Here is a 16983-nt window from a genome sequence, read left to right on the forward strand (position 1 = left end):
ACCTCCTCAGCGTGCTTGCGCAGCGCCTTCTCCCGCTCGTACTGGGTGATGAGCTGCTCGTTGTCGTCCCGCAGCAGCTCCAGCTCCACCTGGTGCTCCTGGTCCTGCGCGAACACCGAGTCCAGGTTCTCCAGCACAGCCACCACCAGCGGCATCAGCTCTTTGACCACCTCCTCGTCATAGCGCCCGATAAGCCGCTCGAACTCGCGGTAGATGGAGCCGGCCAGGCCGGACACCCGCTCCGACATCACGGCCCCGGAGCCGCCGGGCTCCTCCTGATACACCACACCGTCCTCCAGCTCCATGGTGGCAAGCGGACGGGCGGGCGGCCCGGGGCGTCGCCGGCAGAGGGGCGGCACCTGCCCGCACGGGACGGACCCGACTCGGGCTGGGACGGGTACTAGGGCTGGAGCCCGGGCCGGGGCTGGGGCTGGGCCCGGCGGGGTGGGGGCCGGGGCCGGAGGAGGGGAGGGGTGGCGTAGGCGCTCTCACCCCAACCGCCGCTGCACCAACTGCCGGGGCGGCCCGGCCGCGCGCGCCACACGTCATCCGCGGGGCGGGGCCGGCGCCGCGTCGGCCCGATGGGCGGGGCGCCGCGGGAGGCCAGGCGCGGCCGGGGGCGGGGCCAAGCGTCTTCGGGCGCTGGCGGAGGAAGCCATGGCGTCAACACCCGGCGCCGCGAAGACGGTGCGGGCGCCAATGGGAAAGACTGCGGTCGGCGGGTGGGGAGAAGTATCCATCCACAGCGGGATTCGCGGGGCGGGTCCCAGGGGAAAGGGAGGGGTTCGGGAAGAGTGACGAGTTAACTTAGCTGGCATTTCTATGGCTTTTTAAAGCTCACAAAGCACCTACTCACTTCATCCCCACAACAGGCGTAAAGAGGTAGATATTTGGACCTCGTTTCACAGACAAAGAAACTAGGCCCAGGAAAGTGGCGTTGCTCTCAAGGTCACGCAGCTACAACGGGAAACGGGCTGAGCCGGGACTCAAACCAATTACCCAGATTGAGAATTCCGGGCTCCGAAAAAAACTGGAAACAGAAAGGGAGGGAAAAAAAACCATAACCAGGGTCTGCCCAAGTGGAAAGGTGGTCTCGAATAGAATAGAACTGTTTTGTGCTATGGAAGAGCAAGGGTGAGATGAGGGGAAATGGGAGTGACTGCTAATAGGTATGGGATTTCGTTTTGGGATAATAAAAATGTTCTAAAAAATGTATTATAGTGATGAATACACAACTCTAAATATGCTAAAAGACATTCAACTTTACACGTTAAGTGAGTGAATCATATGGCGTGTGAATTATATCTCAAGTTATTAAAAAATAAACAGGAAGGGTGATAGCATTCTGGAGAAGGGTGAAACTGGAACGTTACATGTGGCACTTTCCCACATAGTGTGTCTGCTACTTCTGGCCAACTTGGGACGGGGACATTTCCAGGCTCCAGCCACCCTCCTCTCCTCAAGTCTTGAAGTGGGGCGGAAAGGGTAAGTGGGAGGTTGGGGAACAGAGGAGGTAAGGGGTGGAGTCACTGGAGTGAATAAGTCCCATGACAAGTGAGGTTTCTGCCGCCTGGGAGAGTGTCACGTGTGGGGAATGACACAACGCCCACGCCTAGAGCGGGCTGAGTCAAGGATCCCGGTGTGCTCATCTAACGTCCGCAAATGGGACGGAAGACACTCTCAAAAGTCCCTTCTCTGTGTCTCAGGTGACTCAGCTCTCCGTCCCGACTCGTTTAAGAAAAGGGGGAGGAAAGGCAGGATAAACATAGGTTTAAGGGGAGAATTGGCCACCCACCGGGATCATAACTACCCTTAGCTTGGGGTTTACAAGTTTAAGTACTTCCCACCAAGTATGAAGTAGTCCCCTAAAGTTTCCTACGCATGACCCACCTGGAGACCCATAAAAACAATATGAAGGTTGGGCAAGAGTAAACCTATAAATTTGGAAGGACAAAGATGAAAATACTAAGTCTTATGAAGTGCCAGATGGGACTGAATTTGCGGCCTGTGTTTTTTCCCGTTCTCACCCTCACCCCACATTCACCCTTATGTCATTTAGATATTTGGGTAGTAGGAATGCCGACCAGCTGGTTGGCTGTGAGCCGCAAATGCCCTTTCTCTTCTTAACCTTTCATATTTGAAAACTAGAAAAAGTCTTGATCTGAATCTCTCCTCTTTTATTTTCTCTTCCTGAGGGCTGTCACTCACCTGGTCTACCTATATGCATGCCTCTCTTTTCCTGGGGGATCAGAAGAGCCAAAAAACATAGGGCAAGGCTTTACTTTTTCTTTCCACAATATTATCATACACATCAAAAAATTTAAAGAAAAAAGTATCAGCCGGGCGTGGTGACTCATGCCTGTAACCCAGCACTTTGGGAGGCCGAGGCGGGTGGATCACAAGGTCAGGAGTTCAAGACCAGCCTGAACAATATGGTGAAACCCCATTTCTACTAAAAAGTACAAAAATTAGTCGGGCATGGTGGTGCACACCTATAATCCCAGCTACTCAAGAGGCTGAGGCAGGAGAATAGCTTGAACCTGGGAGGCGGAGGTTGCAGTGAGCAGAGATCACACCATTGCACTCCAGCCTGGGCGACAGAGTGAGACTCCATCTCAAAAAAAAAAAGAAAAAAGAAAAAAGTATCGATTTTTCAAGTACGAGATTTTAATTGTCATTCCTAATAAGTATACTTCTTTAGGTATACGTTCAACATAGAAAGATACACACTTATGTCTTGATTTTAAGCTTCTGCCAGTTATCAGAGATAACATTTAGTTAAAATAAAATTCAGCTAAATAACCATCAGCTGATGAATGGATAAAATGTGACATAGGTATACAATGGACTATTATTTGGCAATAAAAAGAAAGTCGTTGGAGGGGAGGGGAGTAGGCGTGGTGGCTCGCGCCTGTAATCTCAGCACTTGCAAGAGGATGGCTTGTGCCATGAGTTGGAGACCAGCCTGGGCAACATAGTGAGACCTTCATCCCTGACAAAAAAAAAAAAAAAAATTTTTTTTGGCCAGGCACGGTGGCTTACACCTGTACTCCCAGCACTTTGGGAGGTCGAGGCGGGCGGATCACCTGAGGTCAGAGGTCAGATGTTCAAGATCAGCCTGACCAATATGGAGAAACCCTGTATCTACTAAAAATACAAAATTAGCCGGGCGTGGTGGCCCGCACCTGTATTCTTAGCTACTCAGGAGGCTGAGGCAGGAGAATCGCTTGAACCTGGGAGGCGGAGGTTGTGGTGAGCCAAGATCGAGCCATTGCACTCCAGCCTGGGCAACAAGAGCAAAACTCCGTCTCCAAAAAAAAAAAAAAAGAATAGAAAAGAAAACAAAAATTTTAAGTACATGCCATGACATAGCTGAATCTTTTTTTTTTTTTTGAGATGGAATTTCGCTCTTGTTGCCTAAGCTGGAGTGCAATGGTGCAACCTCAGCTCACCGAAACCTCCGCCTCCCAAGTTCAAGCGATTCTCCTGCCTCAGCCTCCCGAGTAGCTGGGATTACAGGTGTGCGCCACCACACCCGGCTAATTTTTTGTATTTTTAGTAGAAACAGGGTTTCACTACGTTAGCCAGGCTGATCTCAAACTCCTGACCTCAGGTGATCCACCCACCTTGGCCTCCCAAAGTGCTGGGATTACAGGCGTGAGCCACCATGCCCAGAGATACAGCTGAATCTTGAAAAAGCTAAGTGAAAGAAGTCAGTCACAAAGGACCACATATTGTACAATTCCATTCGTATGAAATGTGAATTTAGTGATTGGCTAGGTCTCAGGGGCATGAGAGGGTGAGATGAGGGGAAATGGGAGTGCCTGCTAATAGGTATGGGGTTTCTTTTTAGGATAATGAAAATGTTCTAAAAATTGATTATAATGGTGAATACACAACTCTGAAAATATGCTAAAAGACATTCAACTTTACACATTAAATGAGTGAATCATATGGTATGTGAATTATATCTCAAGCTATTAAAAAAATATATGAAGTAAAAGTTATGGCTGGTGGGGCGTGGTGGCTCATGCCTGTAATCCCAGCACTTTGGAAGGCCAAGGCGAGCAGATCACTTGAGGTCAGGAGTTCGAGACCAGCTGGCCAACATGGTGAAACCCCATCTCTACTAAAAATACAAAAATTAGCCGGGCATGGTGGCGTGCACCTGTAATCCCAGCTACTCGGGAGGCTGAGGCAGGAGAATCGCTTGAACTGGGAGGCAGAGGTTGTAGTGAGCTGAGATCATGCCATTGCACTCCAGCCTGGGCGATAGACCGAGACTCCATCTCAAATAAATACATAAATAAATAAAATTTATGGCTATAATGATTTTTATAGTAGACCCAATGAAAGCACATCACTCAGTATGATTGAGGTGAAAGAAACTGGTGTTGAAATTAGGAACCTTGTATTCTAGTATGGACTGGTCATTTTGAACAACTTAGGCCATAAACAAAAGAGCAAGTAGTTACTGATTACCCACTTAGTGACAGTCACAAGGATAAGGGCTGTAAACTTCAGCTTATTCATCCGTATGATGAAGGGGTTTGTTAGAAAATCTGTCCCAGCACTTTGGGAGGCTGAGGTGGGAGGATCAGTTGAGGGTAGGAGTTTGAGAGAAGCCTGGGCAACATAGCCAGAGCATTTCTGAAAATAAAAATAAAAAATAAAGCCCAGGTTGTGCTGATGCAGGCCTGTAGTCCCAGCTACTACTTGGGGAGCTAAGCTATAAGGATCACTGGAGCCCAGGAGGTTGAGGCTGCAATGAGCTGTGATGGCACAACTGCACTCCAGCCTGGGCAACAGAGCAATACCACAACTCCATAAAGAAAGAAAGAAAGAGGAAGAGAGTGAGAGAAAAAAAAAAGAAAGAAAGGGAAAGAGGGAAAGAGAAAGAAAGAAAGAAAAAAAGAGAAAGAAAAAAAGAAAGAAAGAAAGAAAGAAAAAAGAAAAATCTGTAAAGGCATTTTTTCGTTGTTTTGTTTTTTGAGATGAAGTCTCTCTCTTGTCCTCCAGGCTGGAGTGCAATGGCATGATCTTGGCTCACTGCAACCTCTGCCTCCCAGGTTCAAGTGATTCTCCTGCCTTGGCCTCCCGAGTAGCTGGGATTACAGGCGCCTGCCACCATGCCCGGCTAATTTTTATATTTTTAGTAGAGACAGGTTTTCACTTTGTTGTCCAGGCTGGTCTCAAACTCCTGATCTCAGGTGACCTGCCCACCTCGGCATCCCAGAGTGCTGGGATTACAGGCGTGAGTCACCATACCTAGCTCCCCCCCGCCCCCGCCTTTTTTTTTTTTTTTTTTGAGATGGAGTCTCACTCTGTCGCCAGGCTGGAGTGCAGTGGTGCGATCTCAGCTCACTGCAACCTCTGCCTCCCAGGTTCAAACGATTCTCCTGCCTCAGCCTCCCAAGTAGCTGGGATTGCAGATATGTGCCACCACGCCCAGCTAATTTTTGTATTTTTAGTATAGATGGGGTTTCACCATGTTACAGGCCAGAATGGTCTCGATCTCCTGACCTCGTGATCCACTGACCTGGACCTCCCAAAGTGCTGGAATTACAGGCATGAGCCACCGCGCCTGGCCTGTAAAGGGTTTTTGCAGTTCTAAAATCCTATGATTCTCTTGTATAATAGGTTGTAATGACAGACAGGAGACAGGGTCTTGATATTGAGTCCCGTTAGTGAACTCCTTCTTATGTAGGCAGTACTACTACCTCCTATATTCAATTGGCTGGATAGATTCCCAACTTCCACCCCTGACCCACAATGAGAGTATCATTAACTAAGAGTTGTTAAGGAAAAATAGGTCATCTTGTGGACTTTAGAGTAAAGTGTTTACTTTTGATTCCTACAGGGAAGGAAATTCCATTTCAAGAGATTCCTTGGCCTTGCAAAAATAGTGAGGACAGTCACGGGGGCAGCAGAGGGGAGCAGTTAATGAGAGCAGGAAGGGAGGAGTTTCTTCCTAAGCATAATAACTATAATCACTGGAAGGCTGAAATTACTAGTCCTGTTGTTTGTCCAGCCTTCTGGAACATATATAGTTATTTCTATGTGAATCAATTTCTCTAGTTTCACAAATGACATTTTCCCACCTGCAAGGAGAGAGTCACTGAAAAAGGAAGAGAAGATGGGGTTCCCCGGGCACAAGGCCCTCTGGTCATGGCAGTGTGAAATGATAAGTAATTCATCACTGGGTACAAACTAACATATGTTTGGTGAGGCAGTCTAGCTATGGAATTCCAGGCTCAGAATGAAAAGCACCAGGGTATTTTTCTGAGTCCTCAGTTTTTCCTTTGAAAGCCTTTTTTTTTTGAGACGGAGTCTCGCTCTGTCACCCAGGCTGGAGTGCAGTGGCGCAATCTCAGCTCACTGCAACCTCTGCCTTCCTGGTTCAAGCAATTCCCCTGCCTCAGCCTCCCGAGTAGCTGGGACTACAGGTGCACGCCACCACACCCAGCTAATTTTTTTTGTATTTTTACTAGAGATGGGGTTTCACCATGTTGGCCAGACTCATCACAAACTCCTGACCTCAGGCAATCTGCCCCCCTTGGCCTCTTAAAGTGTTGGGATTACAGGCGTGAGCCACTGCCCTCAGTTTTTTTTTTTTTTTTTTTTTTTTTTTTGAGACAGTCTCACTCTGTCACCCAGGCTGGAGTGCAGTGGCAAGATCTCAGCTCAGTGCAAGCTCCACCTCCCAGGTTCAGGCGATTCTCATGCCTTAGCCTCCTGAGTAGCTGGGATTACAGGTGCATGCCACCACACCCAGCTAATTTTTATATTTTTAGTAGACACAGGGTTCTGTCATGTTGGCCAGGCTGGTCTCGAACTCCAAGCCTCAAGTGATCCACTGGCCTCGGCCTCCCAAAGTGCTGGGATTACAGGCGTGATCCACCATGCCTGGCCAAAGCCTTTCTTTTTTTTTTTTTTTTTAAGAGACAGGGTCTCACTCTGTCACTGAAGCTGGAGCACAGTGGCACGATCGCTGCTCACTGCAGCCTTGACCTCCCAGGCTCAAGGGATCTTTCCACCTCAGCCTACTAACTACAAATACGCCACCACCCCGGCTAATTTATTTTTTTACTTTTTATCGAGACAAGGTCTGGCTCTGTTGCTCTGGCTGGTCTCAAACTCCTGGGCTCAAGTGATCCTCCCACCTCAGCCTCCCAAAGTGCTGGGATTACAGGAGTGAGCCACTATGTCTGTCCTTGAAAGCCTTTTTAATGTGCCAAAACAAGATGGGTAAATGTATCCAGGTTGAAGTTAGAAGGCCTCTAGACAATAACTATTCTGTTTTACTCCCTGTTCCCCAAGAGCTTTGGATTCACTGGAATTGCCTCTAAGAAGAGGCTGTACACATGGTTGAAGCAGGAATCCCAGTATTGAGGCTGTTTTTGATGGGGCCAAGGAATGTCGGTCATATTTGTGTGCAGGTCTATTTTCTCTCTCCACTTTTTCTGACTTGGGCTGAGTGGATGAAGAGGAGGCCCACCACCACCTCTCAGTATACTTTGTACACATAGAGTTGCATTCATCTGGGAATAAAAGACATATTTTCAAAACAGTAGGTTTGATACAGGACAGGCAAGCTCCCAAATTGGGGCTTAGCCAGGGAGGGTTGTTGGCTTCCTCCAGGAAAGAATTCAAGAGCAAGCTGGTGGTATTAAACAGCAACTTGTATTGAAGTGGCAGTGTATAGCAGCAGCAGAGGTACTGTTCCTAGCGAGCAGGGATACCCCATAGTCGGTGTGCCCAGAATAGCATCTCAGAGGCAGTTCTGCACTCATATTTTTACCCACTTATAATCACATGCAAAATAGGGGGCAGTTTATGCAGACATTTCTAGGAAAAGGGTTGTAACTTCTGGGTTGTTGGGTCATTGCCATGGAAATGGGTGGTAACTTCTGGGTGTTGCCATGGCAATGGTAAACTGACAGGGCACGCTGGTGGGTGTGTCTTATAGAAAACTGCTTCTGCCTTGGGGCTTTTTTAAGCTAGTCCTCAGTTTGGTCCAGTGTCCAACCTCTGCCTCTGGAGTCCAGTCCCTGCCTCCTACCTCAGGTTGCTTGGGTTTTTCCCTCCCAATTATACAAGAAATGCATACTCACTATAGAAAATTTGCTAAATATGAGCCAGGCACGGTGGCTCACGCCTGTAATCCCAGCACTTTGGGAGGCTGAGGCAGGCGGATCACGAAGTCAAGAACTCAAGACCATCCTGGCCAACATGGTGAAACCCTGTCTCTATTAGAAATACAAAAATTAGCTGGGGATGGTGGCGCACGCCCATAGTCCCAGCTACTCAGAAGGCTGAGGCAGGAGAATTGCTTGAATCTGGGAGGCAGAGGTTGCAGTGAGCCAAGATCGCACCACTGCATTCCAGCCTGGCGACAGAGCAAGACTCCGTCTCAAAAAAAAAAAAAAGAGAGAGAGAAGAAAATTTGCTAAATATGGCCAGGCGCGGTGGCTCACACCTGTAATCCCAGCATTTTGGGAGGCTGAGGCGGGAGGATCACGAGGTCAGGTCAAGACCAGCCTGTCCAACATGGTGAAACCCCGTCTCTACTAAAAATACAAAAATGAGCTGGGCATGGTGGCAGGCACCTGTAATCCCTGCTACTCGGGAGGCGGAGGCAGGGGAATTGCTTGAACCCGGGAGGCAGAGGTTGCAGTGAGCTGAAACCACGCCACTGCATTCCAGTCTGGGCAACAGAGCAAGACTCCATCTCAAAAAAAAAAAAAAAAGAAGAAGAAGAAAATTTGCTAAATATAGGCCGGCCGTGGTAGCTCATGCCTGTGATCCCAGCACTTTGGAAGGCCAAGGTGAGTGGATCATTTGAGGCCAGGAGTTCAAGACCAGCCTGACCAACATGGTGAAACCCAGTATCTACTAGAAGTACAAAAAAATAGCTGGGCATGGTGGCAGACACCTGTGATCTCAGCTACTCAGGAAGCTGAGGCAGGAGAATCACTTGAACCCAGGAGGCAGAGGTTGCGGTGAGCTAAGATCGTGCCACTGCACTCCAGCCTGGGTGACAGAGCGAGACTCTGCCTCAAAAAAAGAAAAAGTATGGGAGTGGAATATGGCTTCTGTTACTTGATCAAGGTGGATAAAGATTTATGGAGACTTTGGATTCATATAGTGACCTTTGCTCTCTGTCTTCTGGTCTCAAAACAATGTTCCTTGTTTTCTTGGTCTCTGAATATCCAACTGGCCTTGAGAGTTGTAGCTGTGAGCTACTAGAACTCAGAATCCATTCTTTTCGCATTGTTCCCTGTATAACTTGGCCACCTTTGACTCTAATGCTACCCAAGTCATCTCTGAAGTGTGGCTGTGATGGTAGCCTTCACTGCAACCCTTTCCTCAGAGCCACCTGCTGTCTACCACCCACCCTACCCCAGCATCCAGGCTAGGGTGGGGAAAGATAAACCTCTGAGCCTTCCATGGCCTGATCCCACAGCACAGCCAGTTTGATACGCTTGTTTTTTAGATTGGTATGGGGTGGTCTTCAGGGCAGCATCTTTCTGAACCCCAAATGAGAAGAGGGTAGGGCCCTCAGGATTACTTTCCATTATCCAGCCCATCTCCTACTCTCTGGGATGAAACCTGGACTTCCAAAAATGTGGGCACATATCTGACAGTTTTATTCTCTTCATTCCTGTTGTCTTTTTTTTTTGAGTTGGAGTTTTGCTCTGTTGCCAAGCTGGAGTGCAGTGGCACAATCTCAGCTCACTGCAACCTCTGCCTCCGCCTCCTGGGTTCAAGTGATTCTCCTGCCTCAGACTCCCAAGTAGCTGGGACTACAGGTGCCCGCCACCACACCCAGTTAATTTTTTGTATTTTTGGTAGAGATGGGGTTTCACCATGTTGGCCAGGATGGTCTCGATCTCTTGGCCTCATGATCCACCTGCCTCAGCCTCTCAAAGTGCTGGGATTACAGGCGTGAGCCACTGCGCCTAGCCCGTTCCTGTTTTTTTGCTTCCGTCTCGCCAATCTTCCAGACTAAAAAGTGAGACCAGTTGTGGTGGCTTATGCCTATAGTTTCAGCATTTGGGAAGCTGAGGTGGGAGGATTGCTTGAGGCCTGGCATTTGAGGTTGCAGTGAGCTATGATTGTGCCACTGCACTTTATCCTGGGTGACAGAACAAGACCCTCTCTCAAAAACAAACAAACCACAACAACAAAGCTGTGGTTGGTGCTAGTCTTGGTGCATATGTTTAAGCTGATCTTACTTAGATCTTTCTGTTTGCATTCAATCTCTGTCTGTCTAGTCTTCATAGATGCCTCCCCATCCTCTATGCTAATGTGTATTTTTTTTTTTTTCCCGAGATGGAGCCTTGCTCTGTCACCCAGGCTGGAGTGCAGTGGCTCAATCTTGGCTCGCTGCAACCTCCGCTTCCCAGGTTCAAGCAATTTTCTCCCCTCAGCCTCCCAAGTAGCTGGGATTACAGGTGGCTGCCACCACACCCTGCTAATTTTTGTATTTTTAGTAGAGACGGGGTTTCACCATATTGGCCAGGCGGGTCTCGAACTCCTGACCTTGGAATCCACGCCCCCGCCACCCGCCCCCCATCAGCCTCCCAAAGTGCTGGGATTACAGGTGTGAGCCACCGTGCCTGGCCCCTCTATGCTAATATTAATATAATGGCAATGGTTTGGGTATGAGAAACATTTGACAAATCTAATGAACAGAACTTGGTAGTTTTAGAGGGTGATAGAGAGGGGACTCACAGATTTCTGGTTTGAGTAAATGGGTAAATGGTGGTCCCAGCAATCAAAATAGCTAATTCAGGAAGGAAAGCAGCTTTTGAAAATAAAACAGTGAATTCATTTTGGACTCCTTTGGTTTGAGATACTTCTGGATTGAATCTCAAAAAATAATGGTGGCTGTACAAATCTTTTAAAGTCATTAATTTATAAATGTAGTAAAGTCTTATTTGTAAATAATACTCCTAGGAAGAATTATTTTGTGAAACACATCATCCAACATTTACCCTTTTTATTTTTATTTTTTTGAGACGGGATCTCACTCTGTCATCTAGGCTAACTCCAGTGCACTCCCAGTGGCACTATCATACCTTATTGCAAACTTGAACTCCTGGCCTCAATTGATCCTCCTGCCTTAGCCTCCCAAAGTGCTGGAATTACAGGTGTGAACCACCATAGCTGGCCCAATATTTACCCATGATATATATTTTTTGTATTTTTTTGTAGACACGGGGGTCTCATCATGTTGCCCAGGCTGGTCTCAAACTCCTGGGCTTAAGTGATCTGCCTGCCTCGGCCTCTCAAAGGAGATAGGCTGGGCGCAGTAGTTCACACCTGCTGGGACTACAGGTGTGAGCCACTGCACCTGGCCTACCCTTTATATTTTCTTTAGTCAACTGTTTCTACCAAATAGCTATTTGAAATATCCTCCCCTAAGGGAATGCAAATTTTGCTGGGTAAGGGAAAGAAACCTGAGCTAATTTTGGGATTTATATCACTACTTCTTAGGAAAGCAAATTTGGGGAGAAAAATGAAGATTAAGAAAGAACTTGGGGCCGGGCGCAGTGGCTCACGCCTGTAATCCAGCACTTTGGGAGGCCAAGGCGGACGGATTGCCTGAGGTCAGGAGTTGGAGACTCAGCCTGGCCAACATAATGAAACCCTGTCTCTACTAAAAATACAAAAATTAGCCAGGTGTGGTGGCACGTGCCTGTAGTCCCAGATACTCAGGAGGCTGAGGTGGGAGAATTTCTTGAACCCAGGAGGCGGAGGTTGCAGTGAGCTGAGACCACGCCATTGCACTCCAGCCTGGGTGACAGAATGAGACTCCGTCAGAAAGGAAAGGGAAAGGGAAAGCGAAAGGGGAGGGAGAGGGAGGGAAAGAAAGAAAGAAAGAACTTTAGTGTTTTTCTTCCCAACCTTTCCTCCCATTTTATTGCTGAGGAAATTAGGGCCTAAAGGGTTAAAGGCTTTGAGCAGCAAGCAAAATGAGGGCACTGGCCCTGGGGAGAGGAGAGTGGAAAAAGGAGGTTCAAGAAGGTGAGAAATAATCCCCAAAAGCTGAATAGAAAAACTACCCTAAAACAAAACCCTAGGATGAGTCCTGTTCCAATAAGACTTTACTACCTTAAACGAATACCAGGAACTTGTCCCCAAGTTGCCCCATCACCAGGGGGATGACCAACTGTTCCAAAGAAACCATGTATATGAAATCACTTTGCAAGCTGCAAAGTCCAGTTACCAGTGTTGCTAACATCAACCATTATTCCTCAAAAACATAAAAAACCCAGGTCTAGGCTGGGCACGGTGGCTCACGCCTGTAATCCCAGCACTTTGGGAGGGCGAGGTAGGTGGGTCACCCGAGGTCAGGAGTTTGAGACCAGCCTGACCAACATGGCGAAGCCCTGTCTCTACTAAAAATACAAAAATGAGCTGGGCGTAGTGGCACACACCTGTAATCACAGCTACTTGGGAGCCTGAGGCAGGAGAATCGCTTGAATCCAGGAGGTGGAGGTTGCAGTGAGCCAAGATCATGCCACTGCACTCCAGCCTGTGTAATGGAGCGAGACTCCGTCTAAAAAAAAACAAATAGAAAACAAAACAAAAAAATCCCAGGTCTAAGGACAAGTTCAATCCACAAGCAGAGAACAGGATATGAACAAACTGGAACACAATAACATGCTGTGGAATATATGTTCTATTTAAGGTCTACAGCTTATCTGAAATACAACAGAAAAAGAGGGGCTGGTTGGGAACAAGGGGTGGTGTCTGGTCAGAAAGGAAATAATCCATAGATCCCCTGTGACCTTTGTCACTTTTTTCCTCCACATATTCATGTATGAAAATGACTCAGCCCTAACACCCTGTGGTTTATTTTTAGTAGGGGCAACAGAGCCAGTTGAAAACCTAAGCATAGTAACTATTGCCCATCAACAGCCTCACACATCAGAAGCAGGGAACAAATATTTATTCATTTCAACTAATATGTGTGACTCAAGGGGCACAAGAGAGTCTGCCCCTTTCAAGATATATATTTGCTCTTTCTTTCTTTCTGCCACAGTATTGGAACCTCCCAATGGGAGAATGACTCCTTTGGACTTGAAATTTCAGTATGAGGAGACCCGTAGCCAGCAGTGAGTGGAGTCCATTTCACTCATTTTATAACTGAGGAATCATCCACAGTCACATGTAAGTTTGTGGCTATGTTGGACTCTCAGCCCAGTGCCTCATTGTATCTCCATTGTTCCACATTCCTTAGTCAAAAGCTAAATAATAGCACATGTTTGACACGAGACCATAGTTCCAGAAGAAGAGGACATATTCAGGGCTGATATCCCATTATAATGTAAGTTAAATGTTGAATATAAGGAGATAACATTCTGTTGTTCACTATGAAATTAGTAGACATCAAGACCCATAGGGATATATTCTTTTTTTTGTTTTGAGACAGAGTTTCGCTCTTGTTGCCCAGGCTAGAGTGCAATGGCGTGATCTCGGCTCACTGCAACCTCCACCTCCTGGGTTCAAGCAATTCTTCTGCTTCAGCCTCCCAAGTAGCTGGATTATAGGCATATGCCACCACACTCAGCTAATTTTGTATTTTTAGTAGAGATGGGGTTTCACCACGTTGGTCAGGCTGGTCTCGAACTCCTGACCTCAGGTGATCTGCCAGTCTCGGCCTCGCAAATTGCTGGGACTACAGCCATGAGCCACCGCACCCCGCCTCTTTTTTTCTTTTTTTTTCAGATGGAGTCTTGCTCTGTCATCCAGGCTAGAATGCAGTGGCACGATCTCGGCTCACTGCAACCTCTGCTTGTGTTCAAGCAATTCTCCTGCCTCAGCCTCCCGAGTAGCTGGGATTACAGGTGTGTGCCACCACACCCAGCTAATTGTATTTTTAATAGAGACAGGGTTTCACTATGTTGGCCAGGCTGGTCTTGAACTCCTGACCTCAGGTGATCCATCCCCCCCTTGGCCTCCCAAAGTACTGGGATTACAGGTGTGAGCCACCATGCCCAGCCCCAGAGGGATGTATTCTTTACTGTTTTGTTAAAATTCAAAATCTTCATCAAGCATCAGCAACAAACAAGAACAACTGAGAGTGCAAGGATCTGGGGTTAGCTGCGGAGTCTGAACTGTGCTTCTGCCACTTACTAGCTGTGAAGTTACTCTTTTATTTTTATTTTTATTTTGAGACAGAGTCTTGCTCTATCGCCCAGGCTGGAGTGCAGTGGCATGATCTTGACTCACTGCAAACTCCGCCTTCCGGGTTCACGCCATTCTCCTGCCTCAGCCTCCTGAGAGCTGGGACTACAGGCGCCCACCACCACGCCTGGCTAATTTTTTTGTATTTTTAGTAGAGACGGGGTTTCACTGTGTTAGCCAGGATGGTCTCGATCTCCTGATCTCGTGATCCGCCCACCTCGGCCTCCCAAAGTGCTGGGATTACAGGCGTGAGCCATCGTGCCTGGCCTGAAGTTACTCTTTCTACCTGTTTTCTGACCTGTAAAATGAGGTTGAGAAAAACAGTACCTATCTCATAGGGTTTTTGTGAAGGTTAAATGAGATAATATACACACAGCACTTAGAATAGTGCCTGGCATATAAATATTCAATAAATGTGATGTGATTTCGCTCTGTGTCCCCACCCAAATCTCATTTTATAGCTCCCATAATTCCCACGTGTTTTAGGGGGAACCTGGCGGGAGATAATTGAATCACAGGGGCAGGTCTTTCCCATGCTGTTTTCATGATAGTGAATAAGTCTCATGAGATCTAATGGTTTTAAAAAATGGAGTTTTTGCCTGGTGCGGTGGCTCATGTCTGTAATCCCAGCACTTTGGGAGGCCAAGGTGGGCGGATCACCTGAGGTCAGGAGTTCGAGACCAGCCTGGCCAACCTGGTGAAACCCTGTCTCTACTAAAAATACAAAAATTAGCTGGGCATGGTTGCAGGCACCTGTAATCCCAGCTACTTGGGAGGCTGAGGCAGGAGAATCGCTTGAACCTGGGAGGTGGAGGTTGCAGTGAGACAACATCGCGCCATTACACTCCAGCCTGGGCAACAAGAGCGAGACTTCATTCCAAAAAAATAAAACGGAGTTTTCAGCCAGGCTCAGTGGCTCACGCCTGTAATCCCAGCACTTTGGGACGCTGAGGCAGGTGGATCACCTGAGGTCAGGAGTTCAAGACTAGCCTGGCCAATCTGGTGAAACTCTGTCTCTACTAAAAATACATTTTGTATTTTTAGTAGCTATAGTCCCAGCTACTTCGGAGGCTGAGGCAGGAGAATCGCTTGAACTCAGGAGGTGGAGGTTGCAGTGAGCCAAGATCACGCCACTGCACTCCAGCCTGGGTGACAGAGTGAGACTCAAGTCTCAAAAACAAAACAAAACAAAACAAAACGGAGTTTCCCTGCACAAGCTCTCTCTTCTCTTGTCTGCTGCCATGTAAGATGTGCTTTTCACCTTCTGCCATGATTATGAGGCCTCCTCAGCCACGTGGAACTGTGTCAGCATTGTGAAAATGGACTAATACAAAATGTAAGCTATGATCTTCCCAGGCTTGTCTTGAACTCCTGAGCTCAAGCAAGCCTTCCTCCTCAGCCTCCTGAGTAGCTGAGACGTGCCATCAAGCCCAGCTAATTTTTTCATTTTTTCTGTAGAGACGGGATCTCATTATGTTGCCCAGGCTGGCTGGAACTGCTGACCTCAAGTGATCCTCCTGCCTTGGCCTGTAATCCCAAAGTGCTAGGATTACAGGTGTGAGCCACCATGCCTGGCCTGCATGTTACTGTTTCAAAAGCACACTCAGCATATCTGTAGCAGGCTTTCCAGTCTCTTAGAAGGATGCCATATTTGCTTTTTAAGTGTTAATGCCAGCTGACTTTTATCCCTTGAAAACTACAGTAGCCAGGTATTTTTGAGGAAAGTGTCCTTGTTGGAGAGGGGACTTGAAGTCTTGAGATAAGAAGAAAGTTTGAAGTCATTGGACACGATCATGCTATTGAAGAGCAGCCTGTGACATTAGTGAGCTGTCTTCAAATAGCGTGTCATATAGAGAGACAGCTAGAGGGAGGATGATAACCAAAGCTTTCAAGACATGCATTTTTTCTCAATGTAAGAACTTTAGGCTGGGCGCAGTGGCTTATGCCTGTAATCCCAGCACGTTGGGAGGCTGAGGCAGGCAGATCACTTGAGGTCAGGAATTTGAGACCAGCTTGGTCAATATGGTGAAACCCCATCTCTACTACAAATACAAAAATTAGCTAGGCGTGGTGGCACGGGCCTGTTGTCCCAGCTACTTGGGAGGCTGAGGCAGGAGAATGGCTTAAACCCGGGAGGCAGAGGTTGCAATGAGCCGAGATCCCGCCACTACACTCCAGTCTGGATGACAGAGCGAGACTCGTCTCAAACAAACAAACAAACAAACAACAAAAAAAAACATGCCGGATGCGGTGGCTCACACCTGTAATCCCAGCACTTTGGGAGGCCAAGGTGGGCCGATCATGAGGTCAGGAGTTCAAGACCAGCCTGACCAACGTGGTGAAACCCCATCTCTACTAAAAATACAAAAATTAGCCAGGCGTGGTGGTGCACGCCTGTAATCCCAGCTACTCAGGAGGCTGAGGCAGGAGAATCGCTTGAACCTGAGAAGTGGTGGTTGCAGTGGGTGAGATCACGCCACTGGCACTCCAGCCTGGGCGACAGAGCAAGACTCTGTCTCAAAAAAAATAAAATAAAAAATAAAAGAACTTAAAAAATATCAGTGGGAGTTGTCCAAAAATGGTTAGGGGGATCTTGGGAAATAGTGGAGTCTCCACCACTGCAGTTTTCACACCTGACTTGGACAGCATATGGCAGGGATGTGGTCAAGAGAAACAAAACATGGGAGTTGGAATAGGTAAGGATTTTGTTTGTTTGTTTTGTTGTTGTTGTTGAGATGGAGTTTTGCTGTTGTTGCCCAGGCTGGAGTGCAATGGCGCCATCTC

At 47.6% G+C, this 16983-nt stretch overlaps 1 protein-coding gene across 5 annotated transcripts in view, besides 8 other annotated features; it reads right to left on the reverse strand.

The window, feature by feature from the left end:
- Window positions 1–517, reverse strand: part of SPAG9 (sperm associated antigen 9) — a 158695-nt gene extending 158178 nt beyond the window's left edge. For all 5 annotated transcript variants that reach the window (NM_003971.6, XM_005257771.4, NM_001130527.3 and 2 more), the window contains exon 1: window positions 3–517. In NM_003971.6, coding sequence (NP_003962.3) covers window positions 3–305 — 303 coding nt within the window. In that variant the 5' untranslated portion in view covers window positions 306–517. The remainder of the gene's footprint in view (window positions 1–2) is intronic.
- Window positions 30–149: an enhancer, noted in NCBI's record as "active region_12398". NCBI's record gives its function as "activates an Ori minimal core promoter by ATAC-STARR-seq in GM12878 lymphoblastoid cells {active_cell/tissue: GM12878}" and the evidence as "EXISTENCE:reporter gene assay evidence [ECO:0000049][PMID:35858748]".
- Window positions 250–629: a silencer, noted in NCBI's record as "silent region_8723". NCBI's record gives its function as "represses an Ori minimal core promoter by ATAC-STARR-seq in GM12878 lymphoblastoid cells {active_cell/tissue: GM12878}" and the evidence as "EXISTENCE:reporter gene assay evidence [ECO:0000049][PMID:35858748]".
- Window positions 250–1253: a biological region, named in NCBI's record as "H3K27ac hESC enhancer GRCh37_chr17:49198151-49198965".
- Window positions 439–1253: an enhancer, noted in NCBI's record as "H3K27ac hESC enhancer chr17:49198151-49198965 (GRCh37/hg19 assembly coordinates)". NCBI's record gives its function as "activates a minimal SCP1, AML or CMV promoter by ChIP-STARR-seq in primed H9 embryonic stem cells {active_cell/tissue: H9 hESC(primed)}" and the evidence as "EXISTENCE:reporter gene assay evidence [ECO:0000049][PMID:30033119]".
- Window positions 770–999: an enhancer, noted in NCBI's record as "active region_12399". NCBI's record gives its function as "activates an Ori minimal core promoter by ATAC-STARR-seq in GM12878 lymphoblastoid cells {active_cell/tissue: GM12878}" and the evidence as "EXISTENCE:reporter gene assay evidence [ECO:0000049][PMID:35858748]".
- Window positions 1609–1868: an enhancer, noted in NCBI's record as "active region_12400". NCBI's record gives its function as "activates an Ori minimal core promoter by ATAC-STARR-seq in GM12878 lymphoblastoid cells {active_cell/tissue: GM12878}" and the evidence as "EXISTENCE:reporter gene assay evidence [ECO:0000049][PMID:35858748]".
- Window positions 7743–7966: a silencer, noted in NCBI's record as "fragment chr17:49205455-49205678 (GRCh37/hg19 assembly coordinates)". NCBI's record gives its function as "represses an EF-1alpha promoter that drives an FKBP-Casp9 reporter gene in an ReSE screen in HepG2 liver carcinoma cells {active_cell/tissue: HepG2}" and the evidence as "EXISTENCE:reporter gene assay evidence [ECO:0000049][PMID:32094911]".
- Window positions 15864–16064: a silencer, noted in NCBI's record as "peak2888 fragment used in MPRA reporter construct". NCBI's record gives its function as "represses an SCP1 promoter by STARR-seq MPRAs in K562 erythroleukemia cells {active_cell/tissue: K562}" and the evidence as "EXISTENCE:reporter gene assay evidence [ECO:0000049][PMID:32103011]".

Source organism: Homo sapiens, chromosome 17 (genome assembly GCF_000001405.40).
Source record: "Homo sapiens chromosome 17, GRCh38.p14 Primary Assembly".
NCBI classification, from domain to species: domain Eukaryota; kingdom Metazoa; phylum Chordata; class Mammalia; order Primates; family Hominidae; genus Homo; species Homo sapiens.